At 41.2% G+C, this 20166-nt stretch overlaps 1 long non-coding RNA gene and 1 pseudogene across 2 annotated transcripts in view; both read left to right on the plus strand.

The window, feature by feature from the left end:
- The window catches only part of LOC107984867 (uncharacterized), a 114037-nt gene that overhangs the window by 57080 nt on the left and 36791 nt on the right, over positions 1–20166 (plus strand). Inside the window, exon 3 of one of the 2 annotated variants that reach the window (XR_001752228.2) lies at positions 6925–7106. The exons of the other annotated variant lie outside the window; for it this stretch is intronic. This is a non-coding gene — a long non-coding RNA (uncharacterized LOC107984867). Of the gene's footprint in view, positions 1–6924; positions 7107–20166 lie in introns of those variants that run through there. 2 annotated transcript variants of the gene reach the window in all.
- Positions 19148–19597, plus strand: RPL12P36 (ribosomal protein L12 pseudogene 36; annotated as a pseudogene).

A 20166-nucleotide genomic window follows, 5' to 3' on the forward strand; every position in this document is an offset into this window, starting at 1 on the left:
ACAGGTGGGAATTGTGGGAGCTACAAGATGATATTTGAGTGGGGACAGAGCCAAACCATATCAGGTACTATTCTGAATTCTGGGTGAGGAAATCTGTACACCAAACCCCAGTGACACACAATTTACCTGTATAACAAACCTACACATGTAGCCCTGAACCTAAAATAAAAATTTTTTTTAAAAGGCTGTGGACACTTTGAGGACCCCATGACCAGTTGAAGTGAAATACAGTTCAGGGAGTGATTGATATGAGAGAATGTAGGGGGAAGGGGACATTCTGATGGTGAAGTGAAAGGTACGGTTATCTACCATGTGCTTTGGCTTACAAAGTTCATGCCCCATCATTTCTACCTCCAGGATTTGAGCAAAAACCAAGACAAATATGTATTTATTTCTTCCCAATGTGCTAGACTGGTGTACAGAATGGGGGTAGAAAGAAAACTGGGGAAAAGTATGGTGCGTGTACAAGAAAGAACACTTATTTCTGACATCTGTGATACAGAGAAATATTAGGCAATGTACCTCTTGATTTCCTAATTCCCTGGTGAAAAGAAGATTAATCCCTTTTTAGGTAATTAATAGGAGCACTGAACCTTTTGTTCACCTGTATACAAATCATTAACAGAGCAAGGTACCAGCTGGAGGCAGGTAATTTTCCAGCTCCTCCAGAGAATTCTTTGGGGATGAATATTTTTCCTATTTTCAAGCTGCATTGTTATTAAAAAAGGGAAGTGCATTTGAACACCCATGTTTAGCTAGCTTTGTTATACCAGTGTCTTAGTAGAGTGCCCCAAGTGACCTATTCCATGGATTATATGAATTTACTCATTCTTGAGGCCCATTTTAATTCCTTATCAGCTGAATTCAGCCTTCAGTTTTTCCTCTCTACTGTCTCCTTTCTATTTCTCTCAAACACCATAGGCTGTGGCCAAGATTGATGGTCTAGCCCAGGTCCTTCACATTATCCCATATCAGACTCAATCCCCACAGGGACTGGGTCACCCTTTGGGAACAGGAGTGTCACTGACCCAAAATTTGGGCCCTCTTTAATTTTTCAAATGTTTCTGCTGATCTTCAGGTATGAAGACGGGTGAGCTTCTCTATGAAATTCTTGAGTGCTTTAGAAAAACCGACATTCAGTAGTCCCATGAATGAAAGCCAGCCTGTGTAAGGATATTGCTTTCTGTCCTTGCTTCCTCTTCATCAGCTTTGAGTATCCACTATTTGCTAAGTTCATAACCATTTGGTTTTAAGAGTGAAGACTCTTCTTTTTTTTTTTTAATGTGTAGATAATTTGCATTTATTTGCACTTTGAAATAGTCTCTTTTTTTTAATTATACTTTAAGTTTTAGGGTACATGTGCACATTGTGCAGGTTAGTTACATATGTATACATGTGCCATGCTGGTGCGCTGCACCCACTAACTCGTCATCTAGCATTAGGTGTATCTCCCAATGCTATCCCTCCCCCCTCCCCCCACCCCACCACAGTCCCCAGAGTGTGATATTCCCCTAAGAGTGAAGACTCTTTAAATTTAGTTAAGATTAAACGGAAAAGGATAGAAGAGCATCACAAGAATACAAAACCAGGCCTCATAAATGTCTGGAATGAATACACTGAAAAGCCAGTGGGAACCATGGCAGCTTTTCTACTCCTTATTCTCTCCTTCTCCCTTTCCTCCTCTTCTTCCCCCTCTTCAAAACATGTGCTAATCTCTAGTTTAAGACTCTATATGGAAATCAAGTGGTCAGGGGATGAATGTGGGAGGAAGCAACTGGTTATATTCTGGAGATATCACCTCCCCCTGCCCCCCCCTTTTTTTTTTTTTAAGACAAAAGTCTCACTCTGTTGCCCAGGGTGGAGTGCAGTGGCTTCATCACAGCTCACTGCAGCCTCAACCTCCTGGGCTTAAGTAATCCTCCCACCTCAGCCTCCCGAGTAGCTGGGGCTACAGGCATATACCAGTAGGCCGACTAATTAAAAAAAAATTATTTTGTAGAAACGGGTTTTGCCATATTGCCTAGGCTGGTCTTAAACTCCTGGCCTCAAGTGATCCTCCCGCCTCGGCCTCCCAAAGTGCTGGGATTATAGCTGTGAGCCACCATGCCTACCCTGAAAGGTGCTTTCTTTAGCTCCTCCTTCCTCTTGCCCCATCCCAAAGAGCTCTGTTTACAGGCTTGGATTCCTTTTCAGCAGTCCTTTAGACTCATAATAGAACAGAGATTTATTCTAACATTAATTCAACAAACGTTTCCTGAATGCCTAGGTTCTGATGAAACAGAGATAAATGAGAGAGTGCCTTCCCTTGAGGAGCTAAGAGTTAGTAGAAAAACTTCCAGTGAATTGACTTGGCGAGAGGTTTTTTGCTCAGATTCATGGAGGGAAACAACTCTCCCCTTTTTTGAAAATTCAAACTTTGTTTTTATAAGTGTTACAAAGGTCCTGCTTGAACCTAAAATGGCACAGCTGTTGGTAGGGTGTGTCATTGGCCAGGTGTGCTGAAATAGTCTGTCTTGGATGTTCCAAATACTCCTTAATTCAAGAAGACTGAACTCATCATTTACCACTTCCTTCCACCTCTTGACACACACTGGCAAGCAAACATGCAGAAAAAGGCATCACAATTCTCCCAGCTGTACAAGTTGGAAACATAGGAGATATTCTCAATGTATGCCTCATTGCCACACCCAGTTAATCTTGTTCATCTAGTTAGTCCTTTTTATTTTGCGAATACATCATCTCTTGTAGCTGCTTCCTCCTCTTTAACTCTTCCGGTATCACCTTCAGACACTCATTATCTCTCACTTAAATCACTGTCACTGTCGCTACCTAACTGGTCTCACAGCTTCCAATCAATCCTCCTTCCATCTGTTCTCCAGGCATAGTGTCTAACAAACAGTGGTTGTTGTTAAAGCTGGACAAAAAGAAACTTGGATGGTGAGTTTTAGTTACCTTGCCCCAGATTATTATCTGTGAAGACTCAGAGTCTCTGTTTTATTTTTTATTTGATCATCTCTAGATCCATTATCAGTGCTAATATACTGATAGTATTTATATTTTCCATTCATTGAGAACAAATTGTTGAGCTATTTTAAATGAATTTTTTAATTAAAACCTTATATATAGATATTACAAATGTGTACAAAACATTATTCCTTCAATCTATAGACTATGTCTTTTGGAAAATCAAACATCGTATGTTCTCACTCATAAGTGGGAGGATGCAAAGGCATAAGAATGACACAGTGGACTTTGAGGACTCGGGGGAAAGGGTGGGAAGGGGGTGAGGGATAAGACTACAAATAGGGTGCAGTGTATAGTGCTCAGGTGATGGGTGCAGCAAAATCTCACAAAAAATCTATGGACTATTATCTTTTGAATAGAAATTCACATACTATGTGTAATATCTAGATAGCTCCTAACATAAACTTGTGGACTAAATTATAGAAATCACTATTCCGGACAATGTCCCTTTCATGGTAAAACAAAATACAGCCTTTCTCTGGTAAATAATAAGGTGTAAATCTTCCTCCCACCGTGCCCTGCTAATTGCATTTGATGATAAGTGGATCCCCATGCATAAGATTCAATCATTTAATTGGTCTAAAACTCTCTTTCTAGCTTATTCTGTTACTCCCTGATAAACCCTCTAAATTCTCATTATACTGCATACTTTTATCATAGGGTGTGCGTAAACATTTCCTGACTCTGTATCTTTGCTTATGCTTCCTTTGACTGGTATAGCCACGTGCTGCAGGACAATGTTTCAGTCAATGATGGACCGCATATAAAACGGTGGTCCCCTAAGATTATAATGGAGTTGAAAAATTCCTATTGCCTAGTGATGTAGTGGCTGTCCTAATGTCGTAGCACAACACATTATCTTTTCTATGTTTAGATATGTTTAGAGACATGAATACTTACCATTGTGTTACAGTTGCCTACAGTATTCAGCACAGTACCATGCTGTACAGGTTTGCAGCCTAGGAGCAATGGCTCTACCACATAGCCAAGTATGTAGTAGGCTATACCATCTAGGTTTGTGTAAGTACACTCTATGATGTCCTAACAATAACAAAATCACCTAGCAACACATTTCTCAGAATGTATCCCCCATTGTTAAACAACACATGGTGGTCACGTACTCTTTCTTTTCTTTCTTGTATTTTTTTTTTTTTTTTTTTTGGAGACAAAGTCTCACTCTGTCACCCAGGCTGGAGTTCAGTGGCATGATCTTGGCTCACTGCAACCTCCGCCTCCTGGGTACAAGCTATTCTCCTGCCTCCCGAGTAGCTGGGACTACAGGTGCCCGCCACTATGCCTGGCTAATTTTTGTATTTTTAATAGAGACACGGTTTCACCATGTTGGCCAGGCTGGTCTTGAACTCCTGACCTCAGGTGATCCACCCGTCTCGGCCTCCCAAAGTGTTGGGATTACAGGTGTGAGCCACTGCACCAGGCCTCATGTACTCTTTTTTTCCACATTTTTTGTCTATTGAAATATTACCCACTTCAATTCAATGTATATATAAAACTTGTCTTAGTCTGTTTTGTGCTGCTATAACAGAATACCACAGACTAGGTAACTTATGAAGAACAGAAATTTATTTCTCACAGCTCTGGAGGTTGGGAAGTTCAAGATGAAGGCACTTGCAGGCATGGTGCCTTGTGAAGGCCCAGTCTCCACTCCCAAGATGGCGCCTTGACGGCTGCATCCTTTGGAGGTGGGAAACTGTTCCTCACATGGCAGAAGAGTGGAAGAGCTGAGACAAAAGGGACCAAACTCACACTTTTATGACAGCAGTAATTCCACCCATGGGGACAGAGCCCACATGGCCCAGTTACCTCTTAAAAGCCCCACCTCTCAACACTGTTACGATGGTAACTAAATTTCAATGTGAGTTTTGGAAGGGACAGACATTCAGACCATTACAAAACCTTTCCAAGATCCTTTTTCAGTGGATTGTATTCTCTTTCCATTGAAGCAACTGAGTTTTCTATTTTCTTCCATTCTTCTTCTGCCAGTACTTATGGGTAGAAGAGCCTACTATGTGCCATGGGGACTACAAACATGAGTTTCTTCCCTAAAGGATTCTACTGTCCTCTAGAGAAGACACACACATTACTCACATCCTTATAGTTAGAGTCACTTAATATTATCTTCTCTGGTAGACCACAGTGATCTTGATATTACAAATTATATTTTAACCACCTTTGTGTTCTTCTTCAGCACATACTACATCAATTATCAATTATAGTGAGTGCTTACAATATTTGATAAATGAAGGAATACAGTAGGTAATACTTATTTTATACTTACTAAGTGAAGGTTGCTAGGGTAGGTATAAAGTGGGGTGGCAAAAGAACAATAAGATGTGGCCTTTAGTGCTGGGTAACTCCTCTGTTTGTGTTGTTGCATATTCCTACAAATAAAACAAAAAAATTTTGTCTTCAAATACATAAAAAACAATAAGCCAACTCTGTACCATTCCCTAAATGCATGCTTGGGGTGGAGGTGCAGAGAGGTGGATTGTGCAACTTTGCTAGGTGACTATCTGCTCATTTAGATGTAAGTTCTGGTCTTTTTGTTGCATTTCCAGTGTGGCAGGACAAGACTTTAAAGTATTTGTGTGGTGCAGAATAGGGGTTAGTTGGGGCCAGTATTTATACAAGCAATGAATTTCCAGTAATTTAGGAAAGAATGCTAACTACAGCCTGAGAAACAAAGAAGAATTATAGAGTCAGGTGAGCACAGGGCCTGAAGCACAGTTAGGGCTCAATCAATATTTGTTAGGAAGGAAGAAAGGAAGAAGAAAGAAAGGAAACAAGCGAAGGCAACCACCATGTGTCTAAATAAACAGAAGCAACTGAGTAAGAGCAAGACCAAAATTGAGTCAATAAATGTGAACCAAAATTAGAAAGCAGTAAGGCAAATGAGATATTACTCTTATAATTATTATTTTATTAACAATACTATAACAACTTAATGTGTTTTTCTTCTTGCACTAGGAATCTCACATATATTAACACATTTATTATTTAGAAGAGCATTTAATTAGAGCTACCATTGTAATTACTTTATGGATGAAGAAATTAGGCTTAGAGGGAAAAGAAGTTTGCCAAAGCTCGCACAGGTAGCAAATGGCAAATGTGGCATCCTGTCCTCTAAATTATTCAAGATGAGACTCTTCCTGGAGAACATAGATGCTGATCATACCTAGGCCACATCACCTCAACCCATCCTTTTCAGCCCAGTGGAGGTGGACAGTTCCTGTTCCTGCCCCTATCTCACTCAAGCATTTCCATGTGGGTCATATTCTCTTCTGCCTCAGGACTCTCTCGAAAGCCATGGAAGGATAGTCAACTGCCTTATCCCAGATGTGCAAGAGAACAATCCTTCAACAGGGAACGAGAGCTGGTTGAAAAGTCACCAGAGGCTGGGTGTGGTGGTTCATGCCTGTAGTTCCAACACTTTAGGAGACCGAAGCAGGAGATTTACATGAGGCCATGAGTTTGAGATCAGCCTGGGCAACATAGCAAGACCCTGTGTCTCCAAAATAAAAATAACTAGGCACAGTGGCATGTGCCTGTGGTCCTAGCTACTTGGAAGGCTGAGGTGGGAGATTTGCTTGAGCCCAGGAGTTCAAGGCTGCAGTAAGCTATGATTGCATCGCGGCACTCCAGCTTGGGTGACAAAGAACGATTCTGTCTCAAAAAAGAAAAAAGAAAAAGGCACCAGACTGTTGCCCTTTAGCTGCACAATTCTACATGGGTTCTCAGAAGTTCCCTGGTAGTTCTGAGCTCCAGTTGACCGAAAGGTAAACAGCTCAATAACCCAGACCTGCTTTCTCCTCATTCCTGTTTTGCTCCTGGCCTTCCACACTCCTGCTTCTGACATCACCTGCACTCTAATCCTTGTCTCAGGTTCTGCTTTCAGGGGAGCCCACATCAAGACGCTGGTTAATCACCCTGCCAGTCACATCAAGATCAAACTCCATAGGGCATCTTAAAGGAACACCAGGTATCTGAATCTGTTAAGCCATCAATATCACTGCTTGAGAATTATAACTTGTGCGATAGGGAACGATGTGTGTTATTTTTCTTTTCTTTCTTTCTTTCTATTTTTTTTTTTTCTGAGACAAGGTCTTGCTCTGTCACCCAGGCTGGAGTGCAGTGGTACAATCATACCACACTGCAGCCTTGACCTCCCAGGCTCAAGCGATCCTCTCACCTCAGCCTTCTGAGTAGCTGGCACTGCAGGCATGCACCACGCCGGGCTAATTTTTCAAAATTTTTTTTTGTAGAGAAGAGGTCTCGCTATGTTGCACAGGTGGGTCTCAAACTCCTGGACTCAAGTGACCCTCTTTCCTCAGCCTCCCAAAGTGTTGGGATTATGGTGAGTCACTGAGTTCGACTTCTTCCTCGCCCCTAAAAACAATAGTACCTTTTAGGAGGAAGGATGTGTTTTTTAAAAGCTCACCTTTTGGTGTTCCAGTGGTGATTAAAGTCATCTGGACCTTTTTTGTTTCCTTGTGCTTCTATGTTCCTTTAATTGGAACTCGTGGGATTGATTTCTAGAAAATGGTGCTTATTTAAGGAAAAAGCAAGGAGGAAATAAAGGCAACTGTGTGTGCTCCAACTTTGAAAAATGGATTTTGGATTGCTGAGCGGGTCATGACTGTTAGTGGACACGAGGGGGCAGCCTCATCCCGGGCTCTGAGGGAAGAGCTACGGCTTCTTTTTTCCTCCTGTGCACAGTAAGTAAAACTCAACAGTTTTGTGGAAGCAGATGGATTTTTTTTTCTTTTCCTTTATGAAGGACTTGAGTGAGGGACCAGGGTTCACTCTGCCGCACATCACAGGGAGTGTGCGTCTTCGCGTCTCGCCTCTGAGGGCCTTTTGATTATGGGGAAGAGGCACCAACTCCAAACACACTGCGTCTAAGGACGCTGAGAGTCACCTCACTTCCTTTGTTATTTTCAAGCACTGTCAAAGAACTGCTGTGTGTGAGAGAAAAAAGCACAGAGCTCCTCCTGGAAAGGAGCGGGGTGGACTGTTCCTTTGCAAACATTCCTCCTCTTGCCCGGTGACCTCATCCAATTCCATGACTTTTTAATAACAGCTCTAAGGTAGTAACTCCCAATTGGATGCCCCTGTCCCAAACATCTTCCCGGAATACCAGGTTTGTATATTTCTATATCCAGTCATCTAGCTGGTATCTCACATGGGTATCTTATAGCCATCTGCATTTGGCCCAGAAGAACTATTTCTTTCTTCCTCTTTTTTTAAAAAAATTTTTCAGGGATACATGTGCAGGTTTGTTACATAGGTAACAAACATAGGGGGCTTGTTGTACAGATTATTTCATCACCTGGGTATTAAGCCTAGTACCCATTAGTTATTCTTCCTGATCCTCCTGTCTCCTTTAATCCAGTCTCTGCACATCTGCCAGGATGATCTTTTTAAGAGAATTCAGATCACTCCTTGTTTAAAACCCTCCAGTAGATTCTATTTCACTTGTAATAAAATTCATACACCCTATCACGGATGTGCAGAGTCCTGTATTATCTACCCATGCCCTGCTGCACCTCCGTCATCATTCGTCAGCAGCCTCAGGCCTTGGCACCAACCATCCCTGTCTGCTTTTATGCCCTCTCTCTGGTTCTCACATGAATCGCCTGCATGCCATTCAAGTCTCAGCTGAAATGTCACCTTTCAGGGAGAGCTTCCCTGGTCGTTCCATCTGTAATAGTCAGCCAGTCACTATCACATTCCTCTGTTTTAATTCTCTGTAAGTACTGATCCCAGATGCAGCTTTCTTGCTGCTTTGTTGGTTTTATTGTCTATTTTCCTCCACTAGAAGGGAAGCTCCATTACATCGTGTCTTCTTTGGATACTCAACCACTTCCCAGTGACTGAACAAGGTCCAACACATGTAAGAGGCCCATTCAATAATTAACTGGACAGCTAAATGACTAAGTGGGTGGAGAAAGCACATCTGACCCTGTGAGGATGGACAGCGGGGTCCTCTACTATTACCTTTCTCTTTGACCTTAGGCAAGTCATTTCTTTTCTCTGGGCACCAGTTTTCTCTTTCAGGTTAATAATATTCTGTGATCTGTGTATTTATTTTATTTTATTTTTTTGAGATGGTGTCTCACTGTGTCACCCAGGCTGGAGTGCAGTGGTACAATCTCAGCTCACTGCAACCTCTGCCTCCTGGGTTCAAGCAATTCTTCTGCCTCAACCTCTGAGTAGCTGGGAATACAGGTGTGTGCCACCACGCCTGGCTATTTTTTTTTTCCGGTATTTTTAGTAGAGATGGGGTTTCACCATGTTGGCCAGGCTGGTCTTGAACTCCTGACCTCTGGTGATTCACCCACCTCGGCCTCCCAAAGTGCCGGGATAACAGGCATAAGCCACCGTGCCTAGCCCCTGTGATATGTTTATTCTAATTCACAAGTATACTTCTCAGGAACTTCTGTAGAAGTTTTTGAGGCATTGGGAGTAGAAAAGTCTCTTGCTGATGAAGAGTTTTGAACACTGTTGAAGCTGGTAGAAAGCACTAAGATTTAATGGTTTCTATCATCCCATTCATTCACTTTCATATAATGAAGCAAAACCTGAAGCTGCCGTTTTTTTTTTTTTTTTTTTTTTTTTTTTTTTTTTTTTTTTTTTTTTTTTTTTTTTTTTGAGACGGAGTCTCGCTCTGTCGCCCAGGCTGGAGTGCAGTGGCGCGATCTCGGCTCACTGCAAGCTCCGCCTCCCGGTTTCACGCCATTCTCCTGCCTCAGCCTCCCGAGTAGCTGGGACTACAGGCGCCCGCTACCACGCCCGAAGCTGCCAGTTTTTGAAGTCTCTGGTGAAACTGATCCTAGGTCATGAAACAGACCGAGCTCACCCTCTCAAGATGCTAGCCCCCAGAGGAGGGGATGAGCTGTAGGTCAGGCTGCCTTTTTCTAAGCCTTTGGTTAGCGGTTCCTGGTTTGAAATTCTGGACCTGCTATTTCAGAAACAACTTAAGCACAGCAGAACTGTTCCATCTTATTGCACTTTAGGTGTGATGTAAATGAGGCAACAATTACAGACCCACACTCTTTAGGATGTTAAAGTGCTACTCATAACTAACCAGGAAAGGTCACCAAATAAATACTTTGACGTTTGCTAAGAAGGGAGATTAGTGAAAGCCTTGACCCTGTGTTCATCCAGATCCCAGGATGTAGGAATGTTTTTATTCCCTCTCAATTCCTTTGATGCTCTGGGATTCTGATGTGCTTCTAAGCTTTAATTTCTTGAAAAGCCCTTTCATCAACCCTGTTGACTGTACTCTAAGATTCCCTCCTCCCCCCTCCCCTACATTTGGGTCAGCCTGTACCAAAGGAGAAGGTTATCTGGGCTGTTAAACCTTTGACTCGGTGTCTTTTGAAGAGCGCATTTTGCATTTTGTTATGTCAGGATTGTAATTAGATCCGTTAATTAAGGGAAGAATGAACTTTTCCCAAACTCTGCACCTCTTTGAATTTTTGATAAGTTTGCTTAGGTTGCTGCTGACCTTTGCTAAGGGGTATGCCACTGCTCATTAATTGGCAAATTTTAATGAGGAGAGTTGATGAATGTGCTGGCCTTGACAATAAATAAAGCTGGCTACCACTCCAGGCTTTACCACCTTTGGCTACTTCAAAGTGTGTAGTGTTTCTTGACTAGTGACCATTAAACTTGGGACACTTCAGATGACATTTTCCCATATAACTGAGCGAGGGCTTCCTTACCCAGGCACTGTTCCAGATAATTCCTTACCACTATCTCATTTTAGGCTTATGGGAATCTGTTATACTTGTTTCATGGAAGGGAAAACTGAGGCATAGGGAGAGTGATAACTTGCATAGGACATGTAACTAAGTTAATAATGATGATAATAATAGCCGATGTTCAAGTTCTACTTATGTGCTAGGTAGTCTCCCAAGCTGTTTTTTTTTTTTTTTTTTTTTTGAGATGAAATCTCACTCTGTCACCCAGGCTGGAGTGCAGTGGCACCATCTTGGCTCACTGCGAACTCCGCCTCTGCGTTCAAGTGATTCTCCTGCCTCAGCCTCCCTAGTAGCTGGGATTACAGGCATGTGCCACTACACCCGGCTAATTTTTGTATTTTCAGTAGAGCTGGGGTTTCACCATGTTGGCCAGGCTGGTCTTTAACTTCTGACCTCAGGTGATCCACCCACCACAGCCTCCCAAAGTGCTGGGATTACAGGCATGAGCCACCGTGCCTGGCCCCTCCCAAGCTCTTGTAAGTGTTGTATCACTTAATACTCAGAACATTGTTATGAGATAGGCACTGTTTTTGCCCCATTTTACAATGAAGTACTAGAGACAAAGAGCTGGAGTAATTTGTCCAAAGTCACACAACTTACAAATGGTAGAATCAGGATTTAAACCCAGTCTGTAGGAATAAGGCTCTCAACCATACTAAGTGGGTTGCAGGCCAGAATTCCAACCAAGGTCAGCTTCATTTTAAAGCACATAGTCCTTTCTCTTCACCCATTTGCCCCATTGATTTAGCTTTACTGAGGGTATGTGTGCGTGTGTTTGTGTGTGTATGGGTGTCTGTGTGTGTGTATGTTTGAACTTGGATTGTTTTAATTCCCTGAGCATAATTCTTCTGGAGTTATAACAACATCTAGAATATTCTCTGTGATTACAAGTATTTAGAGTACAAAGGAAAATACAATTGAGATTCTCTCTCTCTCACACACACACACACACACACACACACACACACACAGAGACAGACAGACACAGACACACATAGACACACACACACACATTCTCTCTCTCTGTCTCAGATTTCTCTGCTCAAACATAAAATTTTTACTGTCCCTGGAAACGGAGTGAACTGTGACACTTCAGAATATAATCAGAGGTACAATATTTAACAGATAGAATTGGGTGATGAAAGATTTACTTAGTGATCACAGTCTGGGATGTAAATTTTGTTATACTCACTATGACTCCCTGGATTATAGTGAGTGAGAAAGTATTTTCTCTTTGGGGGTCATTGGTGGGAGATGGAATAAGCCTGAGGAGCGCAGTCATAAGTAACTCTTCAGTGCTCTCTCTCTCTCTTTTTTTTTTTTTTGAGACAAGAGTCTTGCTTTGTTGCCCAGGCTGAAGTGCAGTGGCACGATCTTGGCTCACTGCAGCCTCAACCTCCTGGGCTCATGCGATCCTCCCATCTCGGCTCACTGCAGCCTCGACTTCCCAGGCTCAAGTGATTCTCGTGCCTCAGCCTCCTGAGTTGCTGGGACCACAGGCATGCACCACCATGCCTGGCTAATTTTTGTATTTTTTTTGTAGAAATGGGGTTTTGCCATGTTGCCCAGGCTGGTCTCAAACTCCTGGGCTCAAGTGATCCACCCACCTCAGCCATCCAAAGTGCTGGGATTACAGGCGTGAACAACCATGCCCAGGCCAGTGCACCTTTTAAAGGTGCTCCAAAATGCTATAACTTATAACGATGATAAAATATAGTGCTGACATCACTTTACCCCTTGCTTAACACTTGCACTCCTAACAGTCTACAATCGCAATTACTCCCCAAAATAATTATTAAATACTCAACAGTTTAAAATACACCCCAGCATCCACAGTTGCCACAAAGATTCCTCACTTTTTTTTTTTTTTTGCTAAAGACATCCTCTCTTGCAAAATGTCACCATTTTTAGAATTTCTGTCTCTGAACATTGTCCTAAGTGACTTCTTTGAAATTTCTTCCAACTGTTGCTGAAGATAATTTGACATCACTGGGGAGCCTCGTTCATTTGGGGAAATGCCATACTCATTTCATCCTCATGTTCTGTTATGCCTGCTTTATACAGGGGAGACACTGAGGTAGAGGGAATGTTGGTGTCTTGCCCAGGGCACCACTTAGCAAATACTTTGTCAAAGTGTGCTGATTATAAATATCAAAATAAGCCTGTGTATTTGGGTATACACCTTATGATCTGCTAGCATGGTGAAAGCTCCTATTATCCTTAGAGCCAGGTACACGGGCTACCTTATTCAAAAGGGGATTCTTTCACATACCGAGAGGAGGAAGAACTTGCTCAAAATCATACTTTAAGTTAATATCAGAGACATCTCTGGAACTCAGCTGTCTGAGTCCCAGAAAATAGTATTTCTGATTAGAAATATGTCCTGAACTCATGGAAAAAGTTATGATAAACTGGGGTTTCTCAGGAAGCGGTGGAAGCAAATCTCCCTTCCACCAGCTATGGCCTTGCCCTTTTGTTGAGACAGTGAAAGAGTTGGCTATAAAAGTGAGAAAAGAGTGCTGGGATTGTCAACACGGAGCTCCAGGAAGGTTTTTATAGTGAGGGCAGTGAATGAAGCCTTGGAAAATGAATTAGATTTCTGTTTCTAGATGTGTGCTTCCTATCCCATCAAAAGCTTACTTCCCCTCTTGCTATAACATGAATAAAAAGAGGGCAACACATCTTCAGGAAACCTGGTACGCCAAGAAAAATCTTCACGGTGTTCTGGTTTCTTAGCTCCTGTTGCAGAGTGAAGAAATGAGTGCATTTTATTTTCTATTGGTTGTGAAAAAACCAAAGCCATAAATGGGTTAAAAATAAAATCAAATAAAACAAAATCCAGAATATCTGTGACTATGTCATTCTAGTTCTGGATACTGGATGAATCAGCAAATTGGTAGTATTAGGCTTCATAGTGTTTGCAAGGAGGTGGACTGTTTTCCCAGGGAGTTCTCAAGTTTAAACCCAGGAGGGTTATGAAGTCACATTGTTATTATAGTTTGAACACAGCAGTCCTGTCTTCCAGGACAAGAATCACAACTTTTTATGAGTGTTGAATCAAGAGGCAAGGGCCAACTTTTCAAGTAGTGGAAATGCTGCCTATTAAAGTTTATTAAAAACAGAGAAGTAAAAAGCCTAGTTATTCTTGTTTATGCTCTTGACTTCAAATTCCTCTCCAGAACCATCATCTGGATCTACAAACCCGTGTTTGTCCTTGCCAGCATTTCAACTGAATTAATATGAGTAAAACATACGACATCATCTCTTGAAAATATATGTTGTTTCTTGGAATTGAGTCTGGTGTGCCTTTGTTGGGGGCCATGTAGTCTGAATTCTCCCAAGAGAGGCTTAGACATGAACTTGAGTGGGTAGTTTACTAGGGAAGCAGGAATAAGGGAGTGGGAAGAGACAGACAGGGAATGAGAAAAATCAGTGCAAGCATTATCAAGGTCAGTGCTGTGGGGTGATGGGGATTCAATTCTGCTGGGAACGTCTGAGAAGGTTGCAGAATGCCTCTCTTATCCGAGGGGAGGGATGCTGGAGAATTCATCCACATACCTCATCCCCCATTGTTTGAGGTTGTCTTGAGGGTTGGAAAGCACGAACTTACCTGCAGTTTTATGTAGGCTAAGTGGCAACTTAAGGACTAGAGAACTTCCAGGGCAGACAGAGAACACAGTGCATCTTGAGGCAAGATGCTGCCTGTGATGTTAGCCTGAGTTCACATAAAACTGTCCACTCAGCTGCTACTGAATCACACGTAGATCAAGAGAGTGTGACTGCTGTAGTCTGCAACCACAAATGAGATATATATCTGTAAGTACAGTGTCAGGCTTGGGATGAATGGGCTCAGTTTACAAATACTGTCTTAGTCTGCTTTTGTGCTGCTATAAGAGAACACCATAGACTGGGTAATTTATAAGAAAATAGAAATTTATTTCTCACAATCCTAGAGGCTGAGAAGTCCAAAATCCAGGCATTGGTGAGGGCTGCATCCTCTGGAGGGAAAGAACACTATGTCCTTATATGGAGGAAGGTGAAAGGGCAAGCTAACTGAGTTCTGCATGGACTCTTTTATGAGAGCCTTAATCCCATTCAAGAGGGAGGAGCCCTCATGGCCTAACAACCTTAAAAAAATTTTTTTTTCAAATATATCTTATTTTAGATTTGGGGGTACATGTGCTTGTTTGTTACATGGGTATATTGCATACGAGTAGGGATTTGGCTTCTAGTGTACCCAATACCCCGATAATGAACATTGTACTGGATAGGTAATTTTCAACTCCCCCTCACACGCTCTCCCCCTCTTTGGACTCCCTAGTGTCTATGGTTTCCATCTTTATGACCATGAATACCTATTGTTTAGCTCCCACTTATAAGTGAGAACATTTGGTATTTGGTTTTCTGTTTCTGAGTTAGTTCACTTAGCATAATGGCCTTCAGTTCCATCCAAGCTGCTGCAAAAGACACTATTTCATTCTTTTTAGTGGCTGCATAGTATTCCATTTTGTATGTATACCACATTTTCTGGTCAACTGTTGATGGACAATTAGGTTGGTTCCATGAGTTTACTATTGTAAATAGTGCTGTGATGAACATATGAGTACAGGTGTCTTTTTTTATACAAAGACTTTTTTCCTTTGGGTAGATACTCAGTAGTGGGATTACTAGGCTGAATGGTAGTTCTATTTTTAGCTCTTTGAGAACTCTGCATACTGTTTTCCATAGTGATTGAACTAATTTATATTCTCAACAAAAATGTATGTGTTTCCTTTTCTCCACAGCCTTGCCAACACCTGTTATTTTTTGACTTTTTAGTAATATCCATTTTGATTGGTGTAAGATGATATCTCATTGTAGTTTTAATTTACATTTCTTTGAAGATTAGTTATGTTGAACATTTTCTTCATGTGTTTGTTGGCTGTTTGTATGTCTCCTTTTGAGAAATGTCTGTTTATGTCCTTTGCCCAGCTTTTTTTTAAAAACTTTTTTTTTAATATTTTAAGTTCCGGTGTACATGTGCAGAACGTGCAGGTTTGTTACATAGGTATACACATGCCATGGTGGTTTACTGCAACCATCAACCTGTCATCAACAGTAGGTATTCCTCCTAATGTTATCTCTCCCCCCTCCTCCTACCCTGCCAAAAGGCCCCGGTATGTGATGTTCCCCTCCCTGTGTTCATGTGTTCTCACTGTTCAACTCCCACTTATGAGTGAGAACATGCGGTATTTGGTTTTCTGTTCTTGTGATAGTTTGCTGAGAATGATGGTTTCCAGCTTCATCCATGTCCCTCCAAAGGACATGAACTCATCCTTTTTTATGGCTGCATAATATTCCATGGTGTATATGTGCCACATTTTCTTTATCCAGTTTATCATTGATGGACATTTGGGTTGGTTCCAAGTCTTTGCTATTGTGAATAGTGCCACAATAAACATACGTGTGCATGTGTGTTTATAGTAAAATGATTTATAATCTTTTGGGTATATACCCAGTAATGGGATTGCTGAGTCAAGTGGTATTTCTAGTTCTAGATCCTTGAGGAATCGCCACACTGTCTTCCACAATGGTTGAACTAATTTACACTCCCACCAACAGTGTAAAAGTGTCCCTATTTCTCCATATCCTTTCCAACATCTGTTGTTTCCTGACTTTTAAATGATCGCCATTCTAACTGGCATGAGATGGTATCTCATTGTGGTTTTGATTTGCATATCTCTAATGACCAGTGATGATGAGCATTTTTTCATATATCTGTTGGCTGCATAAATGTCTTCTTTTGAGAAGTGTCTGTTCATATCCTTTGCCCACTTTTTGATAGGGTTGTTTTTTTCTTATAAATTTGTTTAAGTTCTTTGTAGATTTTAGATATTAGCCCTTTGTCAGATGGATAGATTGCAGAAATTTTCTCCCATTCTGTAGGTTGCCTGTTCACTCTGATGATAGCTTCTTTTGCTGTGCAGAAGCTCTTTAGTTTAATTAGATCCCATTTGTCAATTTTGTCTTTTGTTGCCATTGCTTTTGGTGTTTTAGACATGAAGTCCTTGCCCATGCCTATGTCCTGAATGGTATTGCCCAGGTTTTATTGTAGGATTTTTATGATCCTAGGTTTTACATTTAAGTCTTTGATCCATCTTGAGTTGATTTTTGTATAAGGTGTAAGGAAGGGGTCCAATTTCTGTTTTCTGCATATGGCTAGCCAGTTTTCCCAACACCATTTATTAAATAGGGAATCTTTTCCCCATTGCTTGTTTGTGTCAGGTTTGTCGAAGATCAGATGGTTGTAGATGTGTGGTATTATTTCTGAGGCCTCTGTTCTGTTCCATTGGTCTATATCTCTGTTTTGGTACCAGTACCATGCTGTTTTGGTTACTGTAGCCTTGTAGTGTAGTTTGAAGTCAAGTAGCATGATGCCTCCAGCTTTGTTCTTCTTTGCCAGGATTTTCTTGGCTATGCAGGCTCTTTTTTGGTTCCATATGAAGTTTAAAGTAGTTTTTTCCAATTCTGTGAAGAAAGTCAGTGGTATATAGCTTGATGGGTATAGCATTGAATCTATAAATTACTTTGGCTTTGCTGGGCTTTTAATGGCTTTGTTTTTTCTTACTGAATTGTTTGAGTTTAATGTACATTCTGAATATTAGTCCTTTGTTGGATACATAATTTGCAAATATTTTCTCCCATTCTGTAGGTTGTCTGTTTACTGTGATACTTCTTTTGCTGTGCAGAAGCTTTTTAGTTTAAGTTCCATTTGTTGATTTTTGTTTTTGTTGCATTTGCTTTTGAGGTCTTCATAATAAATTCTTTGCCTAGGCCAATGGCCAATGGCCAGAAGAGTTTTTCCTAGGTTCCCTTCCAGGATTTTTATAGTTTCAGGTCTTATGTTTGAATTTAGTTTCAGGTCTTATGTTTAAGTCTTTAATTCATCTTGAGTTAATTTTTTGTTTATGGTGAGAGACAGAACTCCAGTTTTATTCTTCTACCATATGGCAATTCAGTTTTTCCAGCACCATTTATTGAACAGAGAGTCCTTTCCCTTTTAAAGGCCCCAGGTCTTAATACTATTATATTGGCAGCACCTGAATTTTGGAGGGGACTCATTCAAACCATAGCAGATACTATGAGCAAGTCAAATCCTGTAGCTGAAGAGGTCACGAGAGCAGATTCCTGGTGAGATGCAGGAAAACAGTCCAAGAGCAAAGACAGGAAGGAGGAAGGAAGTAGAAGTCAGGCAGAGTCTCAGGGAAGGCTGGCAGCAAAGAGTCAGCAGGTTGGGGTCAGTGGAGTGTAGTGATACAGTCACAGCTCACTGCAGCCTCGACCCCCTGGGCTCAAGCAATCCTCCTGCCTCAGCCTTCTGAGTAGCTGAGACCACAGGCATGAGCCACCATGCCTAGCTAATTCTTTTAAATTGTTTTTTGTAGAGATGGGATCTCTCTATGTTGGCCAGGCTGGTCTTGAACTCCTGGCCTCAGGTGATCCTCTCACCTTGGCCTCCCACAGCACTGGGATTATAGGCATGAGCCACTGTGCCTTGCCTTACTGAGTTCTTTATATGACCTGACTGTGAATCCTTCATCTGATATATGTTGTCATAGTTTGTGGCTTGCCTTTTCATTTTCTTAGCAGTGTCTTTTGAAGAGCAAAAGTTTTTAATTTTGATGAAGTCCAATTTATTTATTTTTTATTCGTATTTATTTTTTTTTGAGAGGATTTAAGAGATTCTCTAGCCTCAGCCTCCCAAATAGCTGGGATTGCAGGTGCCTGCCATCATGGCTGGCTAATTTTTTTTGTATTTTAGTAGAGACAGGGTTTCACCATGTTGGCCAGGCTGGTCTCAAACTCCTGACCTCAAGTGATCTGCCCGCCTAGGCCTCCCAAAATGTTGGGATTATAGGCGTTAGCCACCGGGACCGGCCCAATTTATTAATTTTTAAAATAATTAATGCTTTTGTTATCCTATGTAAGAGATCTTATTCTAACTGAAGTCCACTATGATTTTATCCTGTGTTTTTTTTAGAAGTTTTATACTCTAGCATTTAAGTCTTTGGTTCATTTTAAGTTAATTTTTCTATGTCCTTACAATTAATTCAGAACACAGAAAAGGAACAAACTATTGATACACACAACAACATGGCTGAATCTCAAAATCACTTATGGTGCATTAAAGAAGCCAGACTAAAAAGGAGTACACACTATAGGATTTCATTTCTATACATTTCTAGAAAATGTAAACAAAAAGCAGCTTTTAGCTTTTGGCTCAGAGGAGACCAAAGTGCAACTTTATTCCATCATCCCACATTTGGGTTTATCTAACATTGGCTGCCCCCACCATATGGCCTGAGTTCAAACCCAATGAGACCAAAGCCATGTATCTGAGGTGCACGGATGGGGATGTCTGTGCCATATCTGCCCTGGCTGCCAAGGTGGATCCTTTGGGTCTGTCTCCAAAAAAGGTTGTTTATACATTGCGAAGGCAACTGGTGACTGGAGGGTATAAGGATTACAGTGGAACTGACCATTCAGAACAGGCAGTCCCAGATTGTGATAGTACCTTCTGCTTCTGCTCTGATCATCAGATCCCTCAAGGAACCCCTAAAAGAGAGAAAGAGACAGGAAAACATTGAGTGCAGTGTAAATATCACTTTTTATGAGATTGTTAACAATGTCTGACAAATGCAGCATCAATCTTTAGCTAGAGAACTCTCTGGAACCACTAGAGAGATCCTGGGGATGGCCTCATCTGTGGGCCGCCATGTTGATGGTGCCACCCTCATGACTTCCTAGATGGCTGAATGCCCAGGTAGTAAAGAGCTGCAAAAGAAAATATTTCAGTAAAGGGCTGCTGGACAACTAGTAGAACAAAACTAAACAAAAGCAAACAAAGAAAAAGGCAGATGGTAGATGGCTGTGGACAGCATTGGAGAGGGGGTGGATTACCAACAGGTGATAGGAAACTTTTGGGCATTATGGAAATGCTTATTATTTTGATTGTGATGATGGCTTCATGAATGTATGCATATGTCAACATTGGTCAAATTGTGCCCCTTAAATATGTGTAGCTTACTGTATCAATTATACCTCAATAATGCTCTAAAATTAGTTGGTTAGTTGGATGGAAATAGCTGTTCTGAGGCGGCTTACAATTTTGTGACCCCAAACAATTTCTAACTCAGAATCAAATGTTAATTTTCCTTAATCACATTTAAGTTGGGAAGAACCTTTTTAACTTTTTTTTTTATCTAAAAGAGGTTATTTTATTCAAAAAAGATTGATAAAAGAGTTTTTTTTTTATCAATCTGCTTTTTCTAGCGTAATTGTCCTTAGGGAAGGCGCACAATGAAAAAATTTTGTGGTT

The sequence above is a fragment of the Homo sapiens genome, chromosome 16, assembly GCF_000001405.40.
Source record: "Homo sapiens chromosome 16, GRCh38.p14 Primary Assembly".
NCBI lineage: Eukaryota > Metazoa > Chordata > Mammalia > Primates > Hominidae > Homo > Homo sapiens.